The sequence below is a fragment of the Homo sapiens genome, chromosome 5 (assembly GCF_000001405.40).
Source record: "Homo sapiens chromosome 5, GRCh38.p14 Primary Assembly".
In the NCBI taxonomy this organism is placed as follows: domain Eukaryota; kingdom Metazoa; phylum Chordata; class Mammalia; order Primates; family Hominidae; genus Homo; species Homo sapiens.
In genome coordinates, this window is record NC_000005.10 from 137,713,016 (window position 1) to 137,738,108 (window position 25,093).

Here is a 25,093-nt window from a genome sequence, read left to right on the forward strand (position 1 = left end):
GAGGTTAAGTTTTGAACATGTTAAGTTTGAGCTGCCCACTGGACACATAAGTAAGGTTACCAAGCAGGCAAGTGGTTACATGGTCCTGGAATTCAGACATGGGAGATGGTTAAGAGGTTGAGGGGAGGAATAACCAGCAAAAAAAAAAAAAAAAAAAAAAAGTGTGTAGCTGGGTGCAGCAGTACATGCCTATAATCCTAGATGCTCAGGAGGCTGCAGCAGGAGGATTGCTTGAGCCCAGGAGTTCACGACCAGCCTGGACAACATAATGAAACCCTATCTCAAAAAATATGACAGTGTGGTACTAGTATAAGGATAGCTATATAGATCAATAAAATAAAATTGAGAGTCCAGAAATAAACCTTTGTATGTTCAATTGATTTTTGACAAGGTAGCAAGATCATTCAACTGGGAAAAAAACAGTCTTTTCAACAAATGGTGCTGGGACAACTGGATATCCATATGCAAAATAATGAAGTTGGATCCCTACCTCACACCATATACAAAAATTTACTTAAAATGGCTCAAAGATCTAAAAGCAAGAGCTAAAACTATAAAAACTCTTAGAAGAAAACATAGGGGTAAATCTTCATGACTCCAAATAAGGCAATGGTTTCTTAGATATGACACCAAAAGCACAAACAATAAAAGAAACAATGATAAATTAGTTATCAAAATTTAAAACATTTGTGCTTCAAAGGATGCCATCAGGATAATGAAAAGACAATCCATAGAATGAGAAATAATTTTTTGCAAATCATCTACCTGATAATGAGCTTGTATCTAGAATATGTGAAGAACTCAAACTGTTACAACTCAATAATAAACAGAAAAATAACCTAATTAAAAATGAACAAGAGATTTTTTTTATTATTATACATTAAGTTTTAGGGTACATGTGCACAACGTGCAGGTTTGTTACATATGTACACATGTGCCATGTTGGTGTGCTGCACCCATTAACTCGTCATTTAGCATTAGGTATATCTCCTAATGCTATCCCTCCCCCCTCCCCCAACCCCACATATTTCTCCAAACAAGATATAGAAATAGCCAAAGAGCTCATGAAAAGATGCTCGACATCATTAACAATCAGAGAAATGCAAATCAAAACCACAACAAGATACCACCTTACACTCACTAGAATGGCTATAATCAAAAGCACAAACAATAAGAAGTGTTAGAGAAGATGTGGAGAAAGTAGAAGCTTTGCTGTTGATGGAAATGTAAAATGGTGGCAGCTGCTCTGAAAACAGTTTGGCAGTTCCTCCAAAGATTAAAGTTGCCATATGACCCAATAATCCCACTCCCAGACATATACCTAAGAGAAATAAAAACATACATCCACACAAAAACTTGTACATGAATGTTCATAGCAACATTATTTATAATAGCCAGAAGTCAAATGTGGTATATCTATACAATGAAATATTATTCTGCAATAAAAAGGAATGGTGTACTGAGACATGCTACAACATGAATGAACCTTAAATGCATTATGCTAAATGAAAGAAGCCAGATACAAAAGGCTACCTATTGTATGATTTTAAAACAGGCAAATCTATAGAGACATAAAGTAGACTAGTGGTTGCCTAGGGCTGATGGGGAGTGGTGGTAAGGATGGGGTAAACTATGGAGGGGATGACTGCTAAAGAATACAGCGTTTCTATTTAGGGTGATGAAAATATTCTAAGATTGTGGTTGCACAACTCTGTGAATAAACTAAAAGCCATTAAATTGTAACTTTAAACGGGTAAATTGTATGGCATCTGAATTATGTCTTGATAAAACTGTTACCAAAAGAAAAACAGAAAGCAATATGCTAAGATGGTTCATAACAATAATAAAAGCATAGTGACAGACCATCAAAAAAAAAGATGAGAGCAGAGAACTGTTTGCAATGGTGAAATGGGAGATTAAAATTGTCAAAATGAGAAAAGAAAGACTGCATGTGGATTCTACTCATTGGTTGTTCCATTCTCTCTGCCCCTTCTTTTCAGGCCTGGTTAGGATGTGCTATTCTAAGAAGGCCCACAGCCCCATTTGCTTGCTGGATGGTAAGTCAGGAGTAAGAGTCACTAGAGCTCTGCCATCCAGAAGCAGCAGCTGTGGTCTGGCCACAGCAGAGCAACAAAGTGCAAAAGGAGGAAGAAGGCTTGGCAGTGACTATGCCAACAGCCATTCTCTACCATGGAGGTAAAAAGAATAGGAAACTCATGAATTGTGTGATTCATAAATTGCAAAGAACATGTGTGCTTGAACTAAAATAGCTTAAAATTAAGGGAAGGGAATGTGAAAGCAATGCAAGAAATAATCCCAAATCCCTGGAATATCATGTAACATTTCATTAGCTTAACCCCTGGATGGCAAGATGCTTTAGCCCAGGCCTCCATAAGTATACCCAGCCTCTCTCTAGTTCCCATTAAACTCACTCAGATCAATAAAGTATCAATGCAGACCCCCTTCCTCCCTGCCTCCCCTTTCCACTCTATTTTTCATAAGTTAGCCATTTAAATACCTTGGAATTTGATGTAGCCTTTCAATAACATGCGAATACAAGCTTCACTAAGGGCAAGATTTTAGTCCTCTTATCTCCTGCCATGTTCCTGAACCTAGCACAGTGCTTAGCACATCATCATCATCATCATCATCATAGCTAATGCTTACAGAATATTCATTATGTGCCAGGATCTCACAACAATATCTAAGGCATAGTTATTATTATTATTCTACAGGCTGTTCAAATCAGCAATTCTACTTCTCTTCTATACAAATAATCATGAATGTGTACAAGTATTCAACAACAGTAATATATGTGTTGTCACTGTTTTAAGCACTTCATTCATTAATCTTCTTAACAAGCCAGCAAGACTGGTACTCTTATTAGCCTCATTTTATGGTTGACAAAAGTGAGATCAGAGAGATTAATTAACTTGTCTAGGGTCACACAATAAGTACTAGAGCCAAGATTTGAAGTCAGAGTCTATGTTTGTAATCACTATGTTATATGGCTACAAAGATAACCATAGCAGGGGTTATTTATATGAGGAACTGGGAAAACCTAGACATCCAACAACAGGGAACTGTCTTTAAAAAATAACTCAAAAATAGAATATCATTGATCCACTTAATATTGTAGAACAGTTAATGACATAGAAAAATGTGTTCAATATAGTGTTAAGTTAGGTTGAGACGTAAATTTCTTTTTTTTTTTTTAATGAGATGGGTCTCACTATGTTGCCCAGGCTGGCCTCAGATTTCTGGGCTCAAGTGATCCTCCTGCAAAGCTGGGATTACAGTCACAAACTCCAATGCCCAACTAAGGCATATGTTTGTTTGTTTGTTTGTTTGTTTGTTTGTTCATTTGTTTGTTTAAAACAAGAGGAAACTTTATTTCTTATAAAGGTTACAGCCTGCAGGGTGGCTATTCTGACAGGCTGGGAAGCACAGCCTCCAGCCAGAAGCCAGAAACAAGATACTTTGAGAGAGGGGCAAAGGAAACAGGAATTTATGCTGAGCAAGGCGGCCAAATACACATATTCAATAAGCTATAGAAGGAGCCATGAATATTTATGAAAGGAGAAACATGCACATGTGCAATTGAGGTTCTTGCTCTCCAAGTTCAAAAACTGAGGTGATCAGAGGGCGGAGTTTTCAGTCCTCTGCCATTAAAAAGTGAAGCAGAGGCCATGAAACCCCTTACTGCGCAATCTCAAAAAAGACTAGCCAGAACCACTCCTGTGGTCAGTGGTCTCTTATTAGGCAAAAAAGTAAGGGCAGTGTCAGAAAATTTGTTGATATCAGTGGTGGGGTCTTTTGAAAGGGCTGGCTTTTGTTAGAACCTTAGGGAGGAAAGCTTAGTCACGGTTACCAAGAGAGGGGGTCTAACCAACCCCCCTTCCCATCATGGCTGAGAACTCCATTTTCAAAGTTAATCAAGGGTCCCCTTGGCCAAAAGATGGTCTGTTCAGTCCCTGCGGGGCTTAGAATTTTATTTTTAATTTACGTTCTCACCCTTTTAGACAAGATCTGCCAGGGGCAGCACTGATGGCCAAACTTTCATTTTGTCCTATCTCTGCCAGGGCAGTGTGCCTGCCTGCCCCAGGTCCATCTTGTCCCTTGGTGAGACCCCTATGGCCAAGGACTTAGAGCCAAAAGACTTACAGCCAATTTAAACATTCCCAGTCAGATGGGAATGGAGGTGGGCCAGCACCCATCAAAACCCACAAAACCTTTTAAGCAACATAGACAAAAACCAAAGCCAAAATGCAAAGTTACAAAATCTGTAAGTTCTATACATTGAGCTACTGTAATCTTGGTCTTAGCTACAGACTTGTCGCCATTAGCTATAAAAAACATAAACATTTGGCTGGGCATGGTGGCAGGTGCCTATAATCCCAACTACTTGGGAGGCTGAGGGAGGAGAATTGCTTGAACCCGGGAGGTGGAGGTTGCAATGAGCCGAGATCACACCACTGCATTCCGGCCTGGGCCACACGAGTGAAACTCTGCCTCAAAAAAATAAAAATAAATAAATAAATATTTTGCTAAAATGATTTAAGCTAAGGAATGTAGAGACTTTTATTGTGCCACAATGTCTTTTGCAATGAGACATATATTCTAAAGAAGAGAGGTATACTGTCCAAAGTATTACAATGGTTACCACTATGTAATAAAATTATAGATGACTTGTTGCTCATTTGTATATTCTAAATGTTCTATAATAAATATATTCCTTTTACAAAAGAAAAATTAAAAGAAAAATGATAGGAAAATCTATGCCTAAACCTGAATTAAAATTTTCCTAGCCAGTCAAATATATATAGATTGTGGTCCATTTGAAAAAAAACAAAAAGAGGGAGAATAAGATTATTCACTTAAATTTCAGCAAAGGACTATGTCTGGTATTAGAAAAGTGTTTCCCAAAACAAATTTCACAAAACACTTGGTCTATATGCAACAACCACCAAAGGCGGCTCTATAGTCAAATATGTGTGGAAAACCTTTGGTCAGACAAGTTTAGTGCAGGACTTCTCACAGCGTTTAATATGCCAGTATGCATTATGAACCTCAGAGAGGGGTACAGTATATAGCATTCTTCAAACTCATTGGGGCACAGAGCTCTTTTTTCTCACAGAGCATCTTAAGGGAACTAGCATTTCTCAGAACAGAGTTTGACAAATGCTGAATTATACAAAAGAGAAGAAGAAGCAGGACTGTTAGAGATGGCTAAATCTAAGTCAATGCTTTTGGGGAAAGAGAAAAACCTAGTAACTTGTAACAGAAGTAATGAGAACTCAGGATGTCTTTTTAAAAAATTATTTAAAGAAAAGGGGGCTGGGCATGGTGGCTCATGGCCATAATCCCAACATTTTGGGAGGCCACGGTGGGAGGACTGCTTGAACTCAGGTGTTCAAGGTCACAGTGAGCTGTGACTGGGACATTGCACTCCAGCCTAAGTGACAGACCAAGACTCTGTCTCTTTAAAAAAATAAACAAACAAAGAAAAGAGGTTAGTAATAGAAAGTAAGGGTGCAGGGAATCTTGTGTACATATCTATTCCTAAGTTCTCCCTTTCAGGCATCACTGGAGTTGACTATAATACCAGGCAAAATAAGGCCTGGTGAAAGACTCCTAAATCAGACAAAGGGCACAAGCCATACCCAAAAGAACTAAATGAGGAATTTCAATAGTGTCTAGGAAAGACAAGACAAATTCTTCAGTTAACAAGAGAACCATGCCCATAAGCATGGACATCAGCACAGCCTGATGCCTAAGACAGCTATGGGCAGAGCTTCCAGGAAATCTGGCAGGAGGCCTGATAAAAATTGAGCAGTGGAGCATAAGACAAATTTAATTTAACTTGGTTATTAATGCCAAAGACTAGGCCCTGTAGAAAGGAGACATAAGAAAACAAACATAGAATCAGGTAGAACTTTTGTTGAAAAGTAGTTCAACTCCCCACTCAACACACACTTCTTTGGCTATGTGCCATTTTCTCTGCCTGGAAGGCTTCTCCCTATCCCCACTACCCTTCATTTCTCTAACTCTTATTTGTCCTTCAAAATTCAGCTCAAGCATCAACCCTCTTCTCCAAAGTTCCCACCTGTCATACTTGCTTCTGTAGCCCTCTTTAAGAAACAAATAATTATTGCGTACCTACCACCTGTCAGGCACTGGATGCATTCCTCCATCATAATACCTATTTGTACTATAGAAAGATTATTTTCATTGATCTATTTATATTTTTTACTTTGTACCCCAATGACCCATTCCAGGGCCTAGCCAGTGCCTCTGGGCATCTTTGGTGAATCAATAGAAGCTCCTATGAAGTGCCAGGTGCTAGAGATAAAAATTACTCAAAAGTTGCCTCTGCCTTCAGAGAGTTCATGAGCTACAGAAAAAAGATGAAATAAACAATTACACCTCACAACAGGATGAAGTAGGCAGTAAATAACTGCATGGGCAAAGGAAGCTTCTGAGCTCTCTGGTAAAGAAGAGATCGTGTCCACAGGCTTTGTACAAAAAAACATGTACAGAAACACATGTTCAGAGCCCCGAACCTGCCTTGCAACAAGCTTGTCAAACATGCACATTGGCCTTACAAATAGCCTGTGTACCCCTCACTATTAGCTCAGAGAGGATGAGTATATTCACATTTCATTTCTCTCTTTACATTTAAGGAGCCAGGTATTCTTCCACCGATGTGGCTGTCTTGCCAACCTAAGTTCAGACCAGTGAAAGAGAGAGTGAAAAACCAGAAGAAAATACATGACATCCAGTCTTTAATCTGCAATTGTGTGTGGGTGTTGCAATCATTCTATTATTGGTTTTCAAGCAGCTCGTTCTGTTGGAAATCAAGTTTATGAATAGACTTGCTGTAACCATAAAGGATTTTTCCCCTGTGATTAATCATTAAAATGATAGGTGTTAAATACATACAAAGGAAAGACAGTTTTCTGGCAAAGTCATTCTGTCTCAAGCAGAGTTCGAAAGGGGAAACCTGCCGGGCGCGGTGGCTCACGCCTGTAATCCCAGCACTTTGGGAGGCTGAGGCAGGCAGATCACAAGGTCAGGAGTTCAAGACCAGCCTGACCAACATGGTGAAACCCCGTCTCTACTAAAAATACAAAAATTAGCTGGGCGTGGTGGCATGCGCCTGTAATCCCAGCTACTCGGGAGGCTGAGGCAGGGGAATCACTTGAACCCGGGAGGTGGAGGTTGCAGTGAGCCAAGATCATGCCACCTGCATTCCAGCCTGGATGACAGAGCAAGATTCCGTCTCAAAAAAAAAAAAAGAGAGAAAGAAAGGGGAACTCAAGTGACTAAGAATGGATGGAAAGAGTCAGAATTCCCTAGGTGGTCATGTTCTGACTTCTGTTCTCAGTCCTTGATGAAGCTCATGGACAAGTTCCTTCTGCAAGGGCACGGACAAGATAGAAAAAGTACCTCCGCAGTTCATTCATAACCTTGAATGCTTTCCCCATGTGGGCAGGGTTGACAGTGATCGTCCTCTGGTTCTTCTCATCATCCCCAGCCTGTATCAGAGTCTGGGAGCTCAGCTTGACACTGTGAACAGGAAGGAAGAGGGAGGGAAAGAGAATCACTCATTGGTAAACCCATTCATCCAACTGCCAAAAGCCCATGCATTTACCCACCTACCAGAGGCATCTATCAGCCTGTTCTCACACAGACCCAATAGGAAAGACAATGTACTGGGAATTTCTTCATATCTTCCAAAGCAAAGTGCATTCCTCTGAAGGAAGGCAGGTCATAGCTCAGCTTCTTCCACCAAGTACTGTGTGATTTTGTGTGAGGTCCTTATTCTCCATCTCTCCATCCTGAAAACTGAAGGGGACTAAGCACTCTATCACTCACTTCACAGGTTTGTTTGTTCATTAAACAAGCATTTACTGGAGGCTACTATGTGCCAGGCACTGCGTTTAGATTTAAGGGAAACAAAACAATAGGCAAAGCCACCATCACTACCCTCACAAAGCTTAGAGTTCAGTAGAGGAGAATGCCAAGTAAACATTTAAACATCACATTTCAACTATTATGATTTCATAGGAGCTACAGAAGCACAGGGGATGGCCAACTCGTCCCAGTGATAGCAGGTTGATGGAAAGCTTCCTAGAATCTGAGACTTGAAGTAAGAGCAGAAACGAGTCAGGTAAAGAGAAAGAAGAGTATTCCAGGCAGAGGAAACAGTATGCACAAAGACCTGGAGGAGAAAAAGCACAAAGTGTGTTCAAAGTACTGGCAGTTCAGTAAAACTAGAGGAGAGCACAAGAGGGAATATCAAGAGAAAAAACTAGAAGACCAAGCAGCCTTTTAAGTGTCATGTAAGCAAAGCTAAGAAGTTTGGATTTCTTTCTGAAATAATGAGAAGCCATCAAAGGGTTTTAAACAAAGTAGGACAGAAAGCAGGTAAACAAATCTGTGTTTTAGAAAAATCACATTGGCTACACTCCAGGAAGCAGTCGAACAACAGCGAAAGCTTTTGGGAAACTGTAATCCCATAGAAAGACAAAGGATTATAAGTATTATGGAAAGAAAGGCTATCTATGTAGACTAACTGAGTAAGTAGAAACTAGCAAGAGTCAACCATAATCTCAATGCCTTCTGTACTGAAATCAAGAGACAAGGGTATGGTGGCTCATGCCTGTAGTCCCAGCTACTCAGGAGGTTGAAGCAGGAGGACTGCTTGTGCCCAGGGGTTTCATGCCATTGCACCCCAGCCTGGGCAACAGAGCAAAACTCTGTCTCTTGAAAAAGTGAAAGAGAAAGACAAAATACTCAAATCCCTGTGGGGTGCCAGCTAGTTACCCAACAACTCCTGAGCAACATCTTTCAACTTTATGGAAGGTGGAAATAAGGAATCAAAAGAATGAGCAAGGAAAGGTGTTTCTCCCCAAATTGGTGAAACTATTCAGCTCCCAGGAGTAGTGTGAGACCTTGGAGTTACCGGTTTGATCTAGGCTAAGCTTTGCTTTGCTACTAGGAAAACAGAACCTTCTCCACTTGTATAGATTTGAGGACCCATAGTTCACTCCAACTCTAGGACAATGAGGGTACTCTCCTTTGATTTTCCCTAGTGAGCCTCTATCCATGCTACCACTTAACTTTGCAAACTGGCTAGAGAAAGAGGCTTCTATGCTTTAGAGTATATTTCAGAGGCCTGAGAATCACTATAGATCTCACACTGGAATTCGTAACTATTGGAACATTCAAATACGACCAGCGTGGCAGACCCACAGCTTGTCTGACCGTAACAGACTCCTCTTTTGGCTCCCTTCCCCACCATCAGTTCATCATGCAAACGTAAGCCACAAATAACTGAACTTTGGGGCTGTTTGGATTCTGTGCACAAGGAAGTTAGCTGAGCAGAGGAAGATATGCACAAAGGAAGATGCTTAGAGTTGTGTGTTTAAAGCAGGTAAAGAAAGTCTCAAGCCAGAAAATGTGGCTTGAGACTTGAATCAGAGAGGGGAAGCAACCAGCAAAGATGAAAATTTTCTTCAAAAGATGAGCTATTCCATAAGCATAATTTATTTTATGGTGTCTTTCTTTACTATAAAGCTAGAAAAATGTTAACTTCTATGTTCTACTAAAGGTTTAACATTTTTGCTTTTGGTATTTAAGCCCTTATTTCATCTGATACTTATTTTTTCTCTTTTTTTGAGATAGTTTCACTCTGTCATCCAGGCTGGAGTGCAGATCTTGGCTCAACCTCCGCCTCCTGGGTTCAAGTGATTCTCGTGCCTTAGCCTCTCAAGTAGCTGGGATTACAGGCGTGCACCACCACAACCGGCTAATTTTTGTATTTTTAGTAGAAATGGGGAGTTTCACCATGTTGGTCAGGCTGTTCTCGAACTCCTGGCCTCAAGTGATCTGCTCACTCCGGCCTCCCAAAGTGCTGCGATTACTGGCGTGAGCCACTGTGCCAGGCCCTGATACTGATATTTATGTCAGGATATGAAATAGGGATCTAATTTTCTCCATAAGTTTGATGTATTTAAAACTTTTTATTTTTCTCATGCATCTGTCATGCCATCTTAGGTCACATATTAAAGTTCCAGATACAAAGAGATTTCTTTCTTGACTTACTAACTTATTCCACTGGTCAGTTTGTCTGTCTCTGTAACAGTACCACATGATTTCTGTAGCTTTATAATAAGGTCTGATATCTGACAGGGAAAGTCCCCAGTCCTATTATTATTTTTGAGAAGTGTCTTCACTAGCTTGTCAAATTCCATAAAGAACTCGAATGGGATTTTGATTAAAAAACTGCATTGAATTTATAGATCAATTTGGATAGAACCATCATTTTTCTGATACTATGCCCTCCTATCCATGAACATAGGATATCTCTCCATTTAAGTCCTCTTTAATATCACTCAGACTTTTAGATTTTTCTGTATGAAGACCTTACACGTTTGATTAGATTTATTCCTAAGTACTTTATGGTTTTTATTGCTCTTTTGTAATAGAAATGATGTATTTTTAAATTATGTTTTCTGATTGTTATAGTTTATAAAATGTAGTTTTTGCAAATTCACCATATATCCAGCCATTGCCAATGTTCCTATTATTCCTAACTATTTGAACATAAATTAGGTGTCCTATGTAGACAGTCATATTATCTGCATATAATGCCAGAGATTTTTCTTCTATCAAATTCTTAGGCCTCTAATTTCTTTTTTGAAAAAAGTTTGCACTGGCTAGGATGGCCACACAATGTCAAACAGAAAGGATGCTAATGAATAGTATTGTCATATTCCTGCTTTCAAAGATGTTTCTAATGTTCCCCCATTATGTATGTTTGTTACAGGATTTTTGTAAATGATTTTTGTCAGATTAAGAAAATTCCCTTCTATTTTTATTAAGAGTTTTTAAGTCATAAAGTAATGCTAAATTTTATCAAATGTCTTTGTGTATCTAATGAGATGTTCATATGGGTTTTTTCCTTTAATCTTGCCTGTGCATCAAGGGTGGAAAGGGCTCTGGATGGATTTGGGGAAAGCGATGTCTTTCCTTTAATCTTGTAATGTGATGAATGACACATATATTTTCTAATACTAAACCATACTTGCATCCTTCGGATAAATCTATAAACTGTAAAATACTCTACAAGTATTCATTATAAATATTGTCTTCAAACTGTGGAGAGACTTAAAAGCCAGAATGAGAAAGCATAATTTGGTATAGATCAGGAAACCACTGAAGGTTCTTGACAGGGAACTAGTAAGATTAAAGCACGGAAAAGCCTAGTGAACAGATATTATTAGCTTCACTTCAAAGATATATAAACTAAAAAGAGCCATTTTAGAAGCACTGACACAATCTCCAGTGTGGCTAGTGAACAGGAAAGCTCACTCTTCTGGTGTGTTGCTCTTTGCACTTTCCAGAATGGTCCAATAATGATGTATCCCCTGTTGTGTTTACCAATGTTGTGTTTACCAAAAGGTCTCAAACACAGATTGCCTATTATCAGAGGATCAATGTTCAACAAAATATAATTCACACTAGAGCCTCCGTAAAAGAGCAAGTGACTTGCTGATGACCATAGGGCTGGCTAGGGAAAGACATCAGTTTCCCCAAATCCATCCAGAGCCCTTTCCACTCTTGATGCACAGGCAAGGCTTGACATCTGAAGGAAGCCAAGGTTCCTTTCTTCCCCTGCTCCTCCATGAAAAGACACAGGAAGTTTGGAGGAGACTCTGAGTCCCTGGTCTCTGGAAGGTACACGCTTCTTGGCAACTCTAACCTTCCAGAGAACAAGAAATTAAGAAAAGAACATCTGAGGGCCCAGAGAAGTTCAAAAATTCTTCACAAGACTGTACAAATAATAAGTGGTAGAGATGGGATCTGAGTTTAGGTATCCTGTACTTGAAGCTCACAACCTATACCCTCCAGCAATATAGTGCATGCATGTACATAAATGCACACACATATACATATGTCTCAACCTAAGGTCACATGCCCAGGCACAGAGTTGCTAGATCTTACCATTTCATCCCCTAAACCTTTTTCCCTCCATTCATTCCAGATCTTAACTACTTAAACCTCAATAGATTGCCCCATCCCCACCCTATCAAGTCCCAATCCCAAGCATTCTCAGTTCTTATTTCCAAATAAGGCTAGTGGATCCCCTCTCCTCGCCTGTGAAACAGACCACACTAAGGTATATTCCCACTATCTTGTTCAAGTCTAACACCATACTTTTCACCCTACCCAGACCCAGCCAAAATCACACACACACACACGTGCACGCACACAAATTTTCCAGGCAGACTCAGCCATGAGATGTTTTCTGTTGAAAAGCATTTCACAGTAAATGCCCTTACTCTAAGCATAAAATGGTTGATTTCTCCAAGAGCAAAAACTGGCCCCAGATTCTACTAAAAACTATAGTCAGTGTTAATTCATATGTGCCCCTCCCACCAGACCTGCAGCTCAAGCTACTACACAAAGGAACCTTCATCTGTATCCCAGTGTCCAGGGTTCCAGCAACATTCAAGTTGAGCAGCCATATTTAAGATTCAAATGGGTCAACAATTGTAGATGTAGTGAGAAAGTATGGGCCAGGCAGAATCTCTGCTCTTTGCTATAGAAATATACAGAAATGATCATCTAAGCCATTTTCTAAATAAACTCTAGCAGAATCAGAACACATGAATCTAGTCAACTTTGTCAAAGCACCAGATATCTGGCTCAATACTTTAATTAATTTCCACACTGGCCTGTTACTAGTAAACTTGCTTATATGAACCACTACTGGTGCCATGATGAACCCACTGCAGTGGATGGTTCAACAGCCCACAGAAAGGGTGTTGCAAATTGGTTCTGACTTATCTCACACTCACAGATACCCACTGACCCCATTCAGGAAGACATACATGTGAGACAGTCAAGCTTCATAGCCATAAGGATAGACATAGTTGGCCCTTCTTTTCTGGGCTTTCAGCTTCTCTTTTCCCCTGACTTAGACTATTACAGTGGCCTCCCACCTGCTGTTCCCCACTCTAGATACTCTCCCTCCAAGTATTTCCTGCACACCATCGCCAAACTGATCCTTCTAAAATGTCATCTGACCATGACTTTCAGATCCTCACTGCACACAGGTCTCTTCGGGGCTGTGAGGTTTATGAGCTGAAGCTTCAGTCACAGCCCTCTGCCTCCATTTGTTCTATATGTTGAGGGTCCACATAAAATTTCCTTTCAAAGGACTCTATAGCTAAAAAGCTGAAAAATCATCAGTCTACAGGATAAAGTCATGATTCTTGACTAGTATTCAAGGACCTCCTTGACCTGGACTGAACCTAAATGCCAGCCTTACCTCTCTCACTTACTCAAATATTTACTAAGTACCTATTATGTGCCAAGCAGATGAACCGTTCACTGCAGACACCTATATTTCCCTTCTCTTTCCCTGTATCATAATCTAAATACCTGTTCTTTGAGGACCAATTAAACTTTACCTCCTCCATGAAACCCTCGGGATACATCAGTTCTAAGTGAGCTCTTCCTTCTCTGAATTCCTGTAGTATTTCTGGCCTGTAACTCAACTGGCACATAGAATTCTGCCTTGTGCCTGATTACTTTTTCAGGGTACAAATCCAACCACCTACCTGCCTCACACTAGATTCAACATACCCAGAGGGCAAGGAACATGTGTCTGAGGACTCTGTATAGCTTAGCCTGCCCAGCATGAGGTCATGCCCACAGTAGGTCCTCATGACATATTTGTCATCTGAACTCTACCTGAAGACCCTTCACTTGTCTTTACAAGCGTTAGATGGTAGAGTAGAAGGGGATAGTCTGACCAACACTTTTATTTTTTAATGAAAGCAGAGTTGGCCTTCAGAGTTAAATTATAAATAAAATATACATAAAATAGTAATTATAAAAGTTATAAATAAAAATATATAAGCTCTAAAAATTAGGCCCTCTTTTAGCACAGCACCTTCCAAAGCCTTCTTTCTTGCCCTCCTCTATCCTCTAAATTACAGATCCACATATCCAATGTCTTATTTGACTCCCCTAATTAGATTTTACACAGGTAATTCATACTTATTCAAAATTTATGTTCCCCACCCTCCCTTAAGCCTGCTACTCTTTCTGTATTCTCTATCTCAGAGGCATAACCAACCACCCAATCACCTATCCAAGCCAAAAACTGGGGTGTTATCCTTGATATCTTCCTCCCTCTCTCTCTCTCTCACTCCTCACATACAGCCATAAATCGAATCAATCCTATGTCCATTAATATCCCTGCACCCCATTTCCTTCTCACTTTCGCTACCATTACAACCCCATTCCAGGTCATCATTGTCTCTTGCCAGGATTATTATAATAACCTCCTCCCAGACTCCAGAGGGACTTTTCCAAAATGTCAATGTGTTCCAGGCATGTTCTACATGAAGCCTCACTGATTCCTCACTGCATTCAGAATAAATCTCAGGGACCTAGCCTGGCCCTTAATCCCATCGTTGCCCTGAAGACTTCTTATTACCGTAATACTAAAATACTTGCAATAGCCAAAATACACTAGGCTCTCTGCCTTGTGAAGTTTTGTCTCACTAGAAAACTGTTCTATCTTATTCCCCACTCATTCTCCCGTGTCTAGCTAGTTCCTACCAGCCTTCAAGCCTCTTCCCTGAAGCCTTCCCTCTCATTCTCCACTACTCACTAGATTAGTTAAAATCTAGTGGGAAACTAGGTTAGTTTCCCCAGTTCTGTATTCCCACAGTACTGTGCTTCCTTCTGTATTGTATTCTAATTACCTCTTACTTATCTGTCTGCCCCACACAGTGTGTGCTGGTAAATGTTTAACAGTTGATTGGGAGGAAAGGAGCCCTGATTTGTAACATTTGCCAATTTCCAGACTGTAAATACTCCCACCATGGCAGATTTTAAGCTACCAACATGATGCCACCGAACATGAGATTTGGGAAGAGATGTGCAACAGCACACCATCATATCACTGTATAGTATTTCTACACCAAGACACAATAGACATAACCTCAAAGCCCTAGAAGATTACAGTAAAAAATAATTAGAAAGTGATGAGTTTGGGGTATTTATTACATTCATTTTTAATATAATTTATAAGTTACATAATTTGTTAATAATGGCTATATTTAATAACTGGCTCCGAAAATTCCTGAAAATTTAACAAACAGCTTTTCCAAGTGGGTGAGTGCTGACTCCAGCACACTGCTGCCCCCTCTAGATTGTGAGCTCTCCATGAGAACCAAGACAGTTATCTTAGTTGCCTCTGAATTCTTAGCTTCTGTCACATGACAGGTGCTCAATGAATGATTACTGAGTAAATTAATAGGTAGATAAGTAAATTAGGTTTAACTACTGACCACTGTAGCTTTCCTCACTCCCCTTCATTAAAATACTGATGGCTTTGTCCCCCTCAACTTTCTCTCCATGACCCCTCCACCTCACGTTCAGAGAGGAGTACTTTCTTAGGCAGCCCAGTCCCCTGCATTGATGACACAGAATCAGGAGGATGGGAGTGAGAGAAAGCCAGCAACAACTAGAGAAGAGGGAAGAAAGTGAGATAGGTTACTGCTTACTGTGTCAGTTCTTAGACTCTTTCTATTGCTGAGGAAAATGGAGGCAGTGAATGGAAAGGAAAGGATACTAAAAAACATGCTAGAAAGGCAGGGGATAGAAGAGTCTCCAAGCAGGCTGATTGTGCAGCAATGTTTGGGGGAATCCAACAAATGAGGAGCTCCAAGTGATGAGAACTCACGGACACAAAGAAGGGAACAACAGACACTAGGGCCTACTTGAGGATGGAGGGTGGGTGGAGGAAGAGGAGCAGAAAAAATAACTATTGGCTACCTGGGTGATGACAGGTACTAATCTGTACAACAAACCTCTGTGACACAAGTTTACCTATATAACAAACCAGCACGTGTACCCCTGAACCTAAAATAAAAGTTAAAAAAAAAAAAAAGAAAAGAAAAAACAAATGAGGAGTTCCAGAACATCTTGGGTGTGCGAGAATGTAGAGGGAAGGAAAGTGGAGTCTGAGAAATGCTGTTAAAGGTTATGATCTGTTTCACCTCTAAAGGTCTCCAAGAGATGCAAATAAAATTCAGAAGTCATGAGCTGATACTGGCCACATACAAGAGGCCCAAGCACATTATGTTCAAGCTAGAGATGAGATGGAATAAAGAGGCAAAACCACTCAATGAAGGCAAAACAACTGTGAGCCAGGGCAAAGCTGTGCTGAATGCATTAAAAACTCTCAACAAAGAAAGTGTCATTTAGAAAGGAATAACCAAAAACTAAGAATCAGACAGAGAAGAAAGCCCTCGGTCCAACCCATCACACTCTGTCTAGGAAAGTGATTTAATCATCAGATATCGTCAGCTGGTTCAGCCTCAGGTCAGATCCTCATGGTGGAGTTTGAAGTCTGTAAATACTCCAATGCCATAACTCAGTCCCTAGTTTACTCTGCAGCCTTTTGACCAGTTTGGCCTCCCCCGTGGTTGTCCTTCAGAGAGGTAGAATGTGGTTGCAGGCCCTCAGGAATATCTTGCCAGTAATATTTTACTGCAAATCAATAAACTGATGACATGTTGACTATTGTATTTTAGGTTCTCATGAGGTCATTGGCATGACTCTGCTTCTCCAACTCTGGACAGCAATGGGACCCTATATAGATAGGATTTCTGAGCCCCTGGCACTCTGGTCAAACTGCAGATCTAGTAAGTATCCCAATCCTAAAGTTCAAGACCAAAATGATCAAACTTAGATTTCTACTTCTGGATTAATGAAGAACCTGACTCTTGAAGATGTCCAGCCAGCAGGATTCAGGACTTGGTGGTGCAGTCCTGCTATCACAAAGTACCATTTACACACAGGTTACCAGAGAGCCCCATACTCTTCATCCTCTTTCAGCAGTGCCACCTCAGTTCATAGAATTAGGCTGAATCGCTATAATAGCCCACATGGACACGTAGAACACATGCATTAGTAAGGTACAGATCGAGTTAACATTTCCTGAAAGTTGAGGGTATGTTAAAGCACCTTACCTCCATTTTATCTTCAGAACAACCCTAGGAAGTAGGTAGCATTATCTCTTAAGGTACAGACATAAAGTCTTCCCAAAAGTCCCACATAACTAGTAAGTGCAGAACTGGCACTGAAACCCAGGTCTATCTGACTCCAAGGCCTGGGCTTTTAATAACAATGTCCACTGACTCGGGATAATGTCCATAGCCCATCAGGCCAAGTGAGGCACAACCCTTCATGTCCCACTCTCTGACGTTCTTCCTTGTGCAACCAAACCAGGCCAAATGAAAAAAGACCAAATCTCCTAGGACCTGTGATATAGCACTACTTCACTTCTGATTATGGGAAATTGCAGTGTGTACTGGAGTCAGTGTTATTAATTGTATTGAACTTGGAGTTTCCACACTGGGGCCTTCACACAAGCCAATCATGATTCACCAAAGATGACCAGCAGATGCTGTCATTCTTGTAACATGCTCCTTCATAAACAAGCTCAAGAACAGGTATGTTACTAATCACATTCCTAAAACCCCAAGTCACAAACTGCTTTCTTTAAAACTCAAGGGGAAAACTCTTAAGTGGGCTGTGTAAAAATGTAAAACATTTTACACAGACAGATAGAATTAGACAAGAAGAGAGAAAGACTAAAAGAAAACATGCTCCTCATTATGTGGCATTTTGGAAGCCAAGCTTATGTTTGGTTTGAATAGGAGAGCTGAGCCCTTGTATGTGTGTGGTTTTGATAGTGGCTATGATATACTTTCATAAGTGAAAATGAAAAGTCCAGGAAAGTTGTGCTAAGACTCTGAAAATCCTCATAAATGATAAAAAGTTAGATCTCTGACCTGAGAGGCATTGAACTTATTTAACAGAAAAAAAAATCTACCAACACATGTTCAAGCTATTTTTTACATGGTTTATTAGTGCTCTATTCCGTTTAACCTAGTTTGAACATTCATCCAGAAATTGAAAAAAAAAAATAGGTCAGTTTGATGATGGCAAATTTCATCAAATAAAGCACTTGCTTTAGGAAAACTTACACAAAAATTATCTTGTCCAGATCTGTTTTACCAGTTCAAAACTTAGCAAGCAAAATCCTAAAAATCCAAATCTGGGTGCAGGGATATCAAGAGGTTTCTTTCCCTGACTTTGTTTTTGCAGTTGAAAACCTTACTTTGTCAAAAAGTATTTCCAAAATGGAAAAATTTGGTTTCAATTATCATGGTTGAAATGCGTGCACATCTGCTTCAGGCAGCAGTGATGCCCAAAACTTTTTACAGAATTTTCTATCCCTGACTTCTAAGGTTGGGGGAGGACTAAGTGACTTGCCGCTGGGAACAGAAAAAAGGCTAGGTTGCTCAACACTTGCTCTTCCCTGGGTCTTGCCAGCATTCAACCTGACATTACAAAACTCAACATTTAAAGTGTACTGGCTTTCTAAGTCTTGTCTCCTCAGAAAATATTCTCTATCTGTCGTTCCTGGATCAAGGGTAAATAGATGAGCTCCTTTTGCTCAGAAGTTCCCTGAGGTCCAAAAACAGACTCTCCTTCATAAAAACCAGCCATTAAGAACCATCCTCTGAGGACACCTCACACAAAATCACAGCATAGTGCCCGGTACATGGTGCCCCTCTCAAGCAGGGGCATCTCTGTGCTTCTGATGAAGAAAATAATCACAATTTTAAGAAAAATAGACAATTAACTTCCCCTTTTTATGATGCTTCTTCCAAAGTTGTGGTGCTCTGTAACTCTTGCAGATCTGCCACAGTCTGGGCCTGAATGTTTTTTATTGTGGTAAAATAGATGTAACATAAAATGTATAATTTTAACCGTTTTTAAGTACAGTCATACTGTTGTACAACCATCACCACCACCCATCTCCAGAATTATTTCATCTTCCCAAACTGAAACTCTCTATCCATTAAACAATAACTTCCCCACTCCTCCCTCCCTCCAGCTCCTGGTAACCATTTTACTTTCTGTCTCTATGAATCTGACTAACCATTTATTTTGAAATTTTATTTTAAGCTATCCACAAGGCTGATTTCCAGAACTGAAATAAAATCCCAATTGCAAGGGCAACTGCCATTTCTGATATCTATCTTCTCTACATTCACACTCACACAGAAACAATTTATCATTGTAATAGCTAACAGCCAGAGACCCTTTCCCTTTGCAAAACAGAAGACAAAATCACCTTCCTCTGACTGTTCAAGCCACAGTGATTCTCCCATGGAGGGAACTGGGGAAGACTTAGCATCATAAGGTCCAGGAGAGACCTGGAAATCTAGAAAGATACAGCAAAGGCTAGTGCAAATTCACAAGTTCTTCTTAAGAGATTTTGGCCTGAACAAACATGCATCCAGCCCATGGTTCCAACCACTGAGGCAACTAGATGCCACAGGTTGTCTATAAAAAGAAAGATTAAGGTAGATCTTGGTGAAACCTAAAAGAAGAAATGCCAAGCCCTATGGGGTAACTTACTATAAGGAGATAGTTTTAGATAAGAAGCAAGATGACGGCCTGATAAGCTCCCTCATTTCCTCATGGAAATGGTTCTACATAATCTGCTTTGGATGATAAAAAAAGAGAGGTCCTAAAATATGCCTTGGTTAGTAACCCAGCAGCAAAGTATAGGGTACAACATAGCAATAGGTGGATACCAATGATAATAGCAACTACCATCTACTGAGTACTCACTCTGTGCCTAAAAAACTTTACTAGGTACCTTACACATATTGTACCATTTAATCTTCACAACAGCTCTATGAAGTGTAAGTACTGTTATTATTCCCTTTACACAGAAGAGAAAAATTAGTTCTGAAAAAAATGTGACACACTCAAGGTCACACTGTTTGTAAAGCAGATTCACCGCTAGGTCTATGTTACTCCAAAGTCCATGCTTTTAATTAATAGCCTTTCAAGGTAGAAAGTATTTTCATACCCTCATGGCAAAGAAAAAAAAAATTGTTCATTAGCAATCCCTTGGTTGAAATTTTGTAATGCTTAAAAACAGCCCCGATTAAGATTCAGCAGGTTAAGTGTGGAATGAGCACCAGATTGAGGATCCCTCCAGTCTCTGGAGGTTGGACATGTGATCCTAGGCGAGTCACTCAGCTTCTCTGGACCTCAATTTCCCAGGGAACTTGTAAAACAAGGCTACTTCCCTCTGTTCTCCCCCTACCTCAAAGCATTCCTTGAAGTCAGTTACCCGTGCTAAGATAATAAGGCTGATATCCAAAGATGAGGCTATTGGCCAAAGGCTTCAGTCTCTTCTTTCACCAACTTTCTTTTTAGTTATCAGAGCCTCACACAAAAGTTATTAGCTAATCAGCTAATAACTATTCAGCACCTGCTATTTGTGTACCCATGCAGTAGTCAATGGGGGTATTTAGAAGTACAAGGCACCAGCCTTGCCCTTGAGGACCTGTCTCCAAGTCTGGGGACTGCTAAGATATATGAAATAAAAGCACTGAAAGATCTGGTGGGCCTATTATTCAGTGTCCAACTATGAGATACAAACCAGAGGTATTAGAATTCCGAAGAACATCAGCCAGGACTAGAAAAGCTGAGTTTCCAAGATAAAGTAGAATTTTAGAATAACCTTGATAGATAGATAACTTTTGCAAAATTGGAAGGGAAAGACATCCAGCAAAAGAAACTCTGGGAGCTAAGGATATGAGGCTAGATGGAGTAATGTATAGGATGGGTGATCATGAAAGAGATCAACAGAATTCTCAGTAGGTATATGAGTGAGCAGTGGAAATGGGAACAGGAGTTAGAGTTCAGAAGACTTGAACGCGTGGCATGGTAAGCTGGACTTGGAGCAGGAACAAAAGGTATGACCTGGGTGACCTGGTGAACATTGGAAGCTGCTCGGTTTGGATTTCTTGTCTACCATCTGCCTTCAGCAGAGGAAAAGTACAAGAACATGTGCAACCTGGTGTTCTAAAGCCATAGACATCAGCCATCCCAGCTGAGAGGCCCCAGGACAGGGGCAAGGACTCACTATATTTCTGAACACAGAACTGGGAACACAGTGCCCAAAACTGTTTGATCCGCTGCTGGTAGTCTCACACTGACCTCTCAACCCCAGTTACACCACAGGTCAAGCAAATAGGCATGGCCCAGAATCTCTAAACCTTCATCGCATCAACCCCATTCTCTGCCACCTACCAGATCAATGGGACACTGTTTTGGGGACCAAAGACACTGCTCACCTCTGCCCCACACTTAGGAAATAGGCCTTCATATTCTGCTGCTCAGCAGGCCTCACAGAGTTCAACACTAAACTCCTGTTGCAAAGAGCACCCAGAAAGAGAATGCACCAGCAGCACAGTCAGTCCCAGGCTCTTCCTGTGGGAGTCATCAAGAAACACAGTTCCCAGGGCCTCTACAGACAAAAGAATGACACCCAATCATCATGCTAGTTCTAATAGGGTCTAGAGATGTTTAATGGCATCACTGTGCCCCGTGAGACACAGAAGTCACAACAACTCATGAAAAGGAAAGTGTTCATTGAGATACTCTCTAGTGTTGACTTAGTTGAGCCTATTATTGTTAACCAGATGGTTACTGTCTGCATCAAACTGGCAATCTGGAGCAGCAGGCTTCCCCTCAGTGGTGCACTGCCATGGCCGGACCCCTCCCTGCAGTCTTCTCTCCTCAGATAAAATGGCAAGCCTCGTACTCTACCAACTGCAGACCAAAGAATGAAGAGGTTGGCACTCAAGAGATATTTTACTTCATAGACAGAGGAATGTCACCTCTGCACTGCGCTGAGCACCTTCACAATGAAAGATTCAGATCTTCAGATAACAATTTAAAAATTTAGATGTGTGTGCCTGCCAGGATCTAACTGCCTCGCTAGTTAGATCCAGCTCAACAAAAGTACTTAAAATCTTTTCTGCTGGTTCCTATTTCAAAAGAAATCCCTGATGGAGGAAGCACAGACCTTCCAGTATCACTCATAAACTTTTCAATACAAATATGAAACTCAGTTCAGAGCAAGTATCATCTGACTGGGTTTCTCTCCTTCATCCCTGAATGTGTGTGTATACAGGCATACACGGCGTGCACGCGCGCACACACACAGCCATCAGCATGGCATGCTTGCTGAAGATTCAAGCACTCCTGCGTGAAAATGCAAGTACACTATGTCAGGTCAGCCCCACTATGACATCAAAAACCCCCCACCAAAGAAAAAACACCCCGGGAAAGGAGCCAGGAAAGGGAAACGCCTCCTTGAAACAGCCTGAGAAAGGCAATCTGATTCAGCCTGTGCTGAAACTATTCCCGAACACCAGCCAGGAAGTCCCTTCTTTCAGGGTGCTCCGCTGCCTAGCAAACCCAGACCTGCCTTTGCGGAAGCCAGATCTCTGGAGATTCAAGCCCTGGAACGGGTGATTTGGAAAGCGGCTTTCCTGCTCTTGTTCTGGCGCCCTTTAAGATCCATCAGTGGCCAGGTCTTCCAACTCTGCCTAGCCAATGCAAACACAAAAGCTGGTGGCTGCACCGCAAGCACACATACACTTACATACACACACAACACAGCACACACTTATACATACATACCTTTCACCCTCCATTGTGTGAGGCCCAGCCAGGGTGGTAGCTGCTGAACTGTGTATGCACTCGGGGATCCTAGTTCTGTTCTTGATTCTCCCAGCAGACCAGTGGGAAATCTGATCAGCAACAGTGATTCAGCATGGCTGCAAGTGAAGCCTCCTCCCTTCTCAATCCTCCTTCCTCTGACTTACTCGCAGCAGCTTCTACCGCAAAAGCAGCAGCAACAGAAAATGTCTTACCCAGAGCTCCCTGCAGCCCTTTCAGCTGCTAAAAGCAGCAACCCACTTGCTCCCCCTCCCCCGCAGGCTTGCTGCTCCTTGGTCTCCTAGGAACGGCGGCAGCTCCAGCGACCCAGGTGCACTGCCACCTTTCCAGCTTCCTCTGCATCTGCCCAGGCATCCCCAGCCCAGGCGATTAGCCCGCCCCTGGGGCTCCTGCCTCCTCTGTCTAGGCTGCAAAGAATCAGGCAGTTCGTCACTAGCCCGAGAAATACTGGCCCCTACACCCTCCCCTGCTCCCATAGGCTATGAGTCTGTCAGCCTGGCCAGATTGCTGGAATGAGGAGGCCCCTCTGTGGCCTGCAGTGGAGTTTATCATCCACCTGGGGAAATTCACTTGTAGGTCACAGTTTATGTTCCAAATCCTCCTCCCAAATTCTGTAGTAGCTCTGAGTGTCTGATAGATGGGGAGAAGTTAAGGGAAAAGCACCTGACAGAAGTGAGAAAAACACAGAGAGAAATTAAGAGAATACAGAGAGAAATTGGAAAACTAGTCGAAAAAGAGAGGTAGTACAAATAGGTGAAACTGAAACAAACCCTATTTTACTGCAAGAGGCCAAAGACTACTGCAGTAAAGCTATCACAATGAATACTAAAATATCTTAGCACAATCCTAAAATATCTTCCTAAAATCTGTCATATTGGAATTTAACTTAAGCAGTGGCTCCAACTAGTAAGTCTCCCACTGAACCCCCATATCCAGCCAAAGATCTTTCACATCCTGTAATCTCCAGCTGCTGAGCTTCAATTTAGACTAATTTAACTCTCCCTGCCTGAAATGCCTTCTCCAATCCCAGTCCTTTAGTCTTTCTGGGAGTCCAGTCAAATCCCATGTCTTCATAAAACCTTCCCTAATCACACCAATGACAGTCAATCACCACCAAAATACACAAACTATACTTTCCTGTATCGTCATCTCACACCTAATATACAGTCTTGGCTAATTCATTATTTATAAATCTTCTTTCCCAAACTAAAACATAATCTTGTGGAAGGCATGAGGCCAGTCTGTATATCCTAGCCACAGAGGCTTAGAGGTAACTGGGACAATTAGCTGCAAAAAGTGGTGCAGAAGCTATCCTAATGCCTCAGAAAAAAATCAGCTATGAGCATCTCTCTTCTGGGACACCTCATGGCACCCCTGGGCTTTTCCGAATCCACACCAGCACTCACTGGGTGAGTGACTTTCCTGAGTAGTGTTCTCCACACTCTGGACCTCATGCTCAGCTACTCATTCACAATATAGGGTCAGACCAGACAATCTTTAGAGTCCCTTTCAGCTCCAAGATCACAGGATTCTAAAAATGTTTTAAATGGTCCGTTTTTCTTCTCAGAGTAATCCGTGTGATTGTTTAAGAAGAAATACTAGGCTCCAATGTGTTGTAGGGGGCTTCAAGGAGGATAACATGATGTAGGTGAAAGTACGAAGAGACGCTCAGTAAATCTATCATCCTTATCATTTTAACCTGTTAAATTTCTTCACTACTACAAAGCCCTAAAACCACAGAAGGAAGAGAGGAACACTGAGGTGACAGAAAGTAAAAGTAACTAAAACTTTATATAGCCTCCTGAACTCAAACTGGCTACAGGGTTATTCTCAAAGATTACCTCCCCTGGCACCTCAGTGTTCTCTTAGACAAGGCCATTACTCACACTCACTCTTTCTCAAGTGAGAAGAGGCCTGGATAATTTCATTTACACCCCACAGGGCTGTATCTTCACTTCTTCCTTGCACAACAATACCCCTCATATCTTGTTCCCTCTATGTCCCTTCCTCCTCTAATCAGCCTTGTGGCCCTGCTCCAGATATTTCCTCTTGAGGCCAATCACAGGGACCACAAAAAGCTGAACATCACAAATAAGGAAACTGAATCTCGGAATCCGTGCCAGAGTTCAGACATCCACCAGGAACACAACTGGGTGATTCATAAAAGGGACATAAGAAAGAGATGACTCCTCCTTTGCACATACCCACGTTTACATATTCGCCATACAGGAAGGTGTGGAAATGCCACATCTAACAAACCAGACAAAGAAAAAAGATCAGAAAAGGAAATATGTAAGGGTTGTATGTATTCAAGTTTCAAAATATAACTATTAAGAGCCAGTATAAAACCCTGCTAAATTTCCCTGCAAAACCATACGACTACACCTTCATACTTTATTCACCACTCATGATTCACAGGAGGTAGACAGAATAGAGA

The 25,093-nt window shown here is 41.2% G+C and overlaps 1 protein-coding gene across 2 annotated transcripts in view, besides 2 other annotated features; it reads right to left on the minus strand.

The window, feature by feature from the left end:
• The window catches only part of KLHL3 (kelch like family member 3), a 118,590-nt gene extending 95,516 nt beyond the window's left edge, over positions 1–23,074 (minus strand). The window contains exons 1-2 of one of the 2 annotated variants that reach the window (NM_017415.3): positions 22,618–23,074; positions 7,450–7,569 (exon numbers count right to left, since the gene is read on the minus strand). In NM_017415.3, coding sequence (NP_059111.2) covers positions 7,450–7,569; positions 22,618–22,631 — 134 coding nt within the window. In that variant the 5' untranslated portion in view covers positions 22,632–23,074. Of the gene's footprint in view, positions 1–7,449; positions 7,570–7,662; positions 8,296–22,617 lie in introns of those variants that run through there. The other variant, NM_001257194.1, reaches the window with a different exon arrangement.
• Positions 21,272–21,341: an enhancer, noted in NCBI's record as "active region_23184". NCBI's record gives its function as "activates an Ori minimal core promoter by ATAC-STARR-seq in GM12878 lymphoblastoid cells {active_cell/tissue: GM12878}" and the evidence as "EXISTENCE:reporter gene assay evidence [ECO:0000049][PMID:35858748]".
• Positions 22,673–23,341: an enhancer, noted in NCBI's record as "OCT4-NANOG-H3K27ac hESC enhancer chr5:137071377-137072045 (GRCh37/hg19 assembly coordinates)". NCBI's record gives its function as "activates a minimal SCP1, AML or CMV promoter by ChIP-STARR-seq in naive H9 embryonic stem cells {active_cell/tissue: H9 hESC(naive)}" and the evidence as "EXISTENCE:reporter gene assay evidence [ECO:0000049][PMID:30033119]".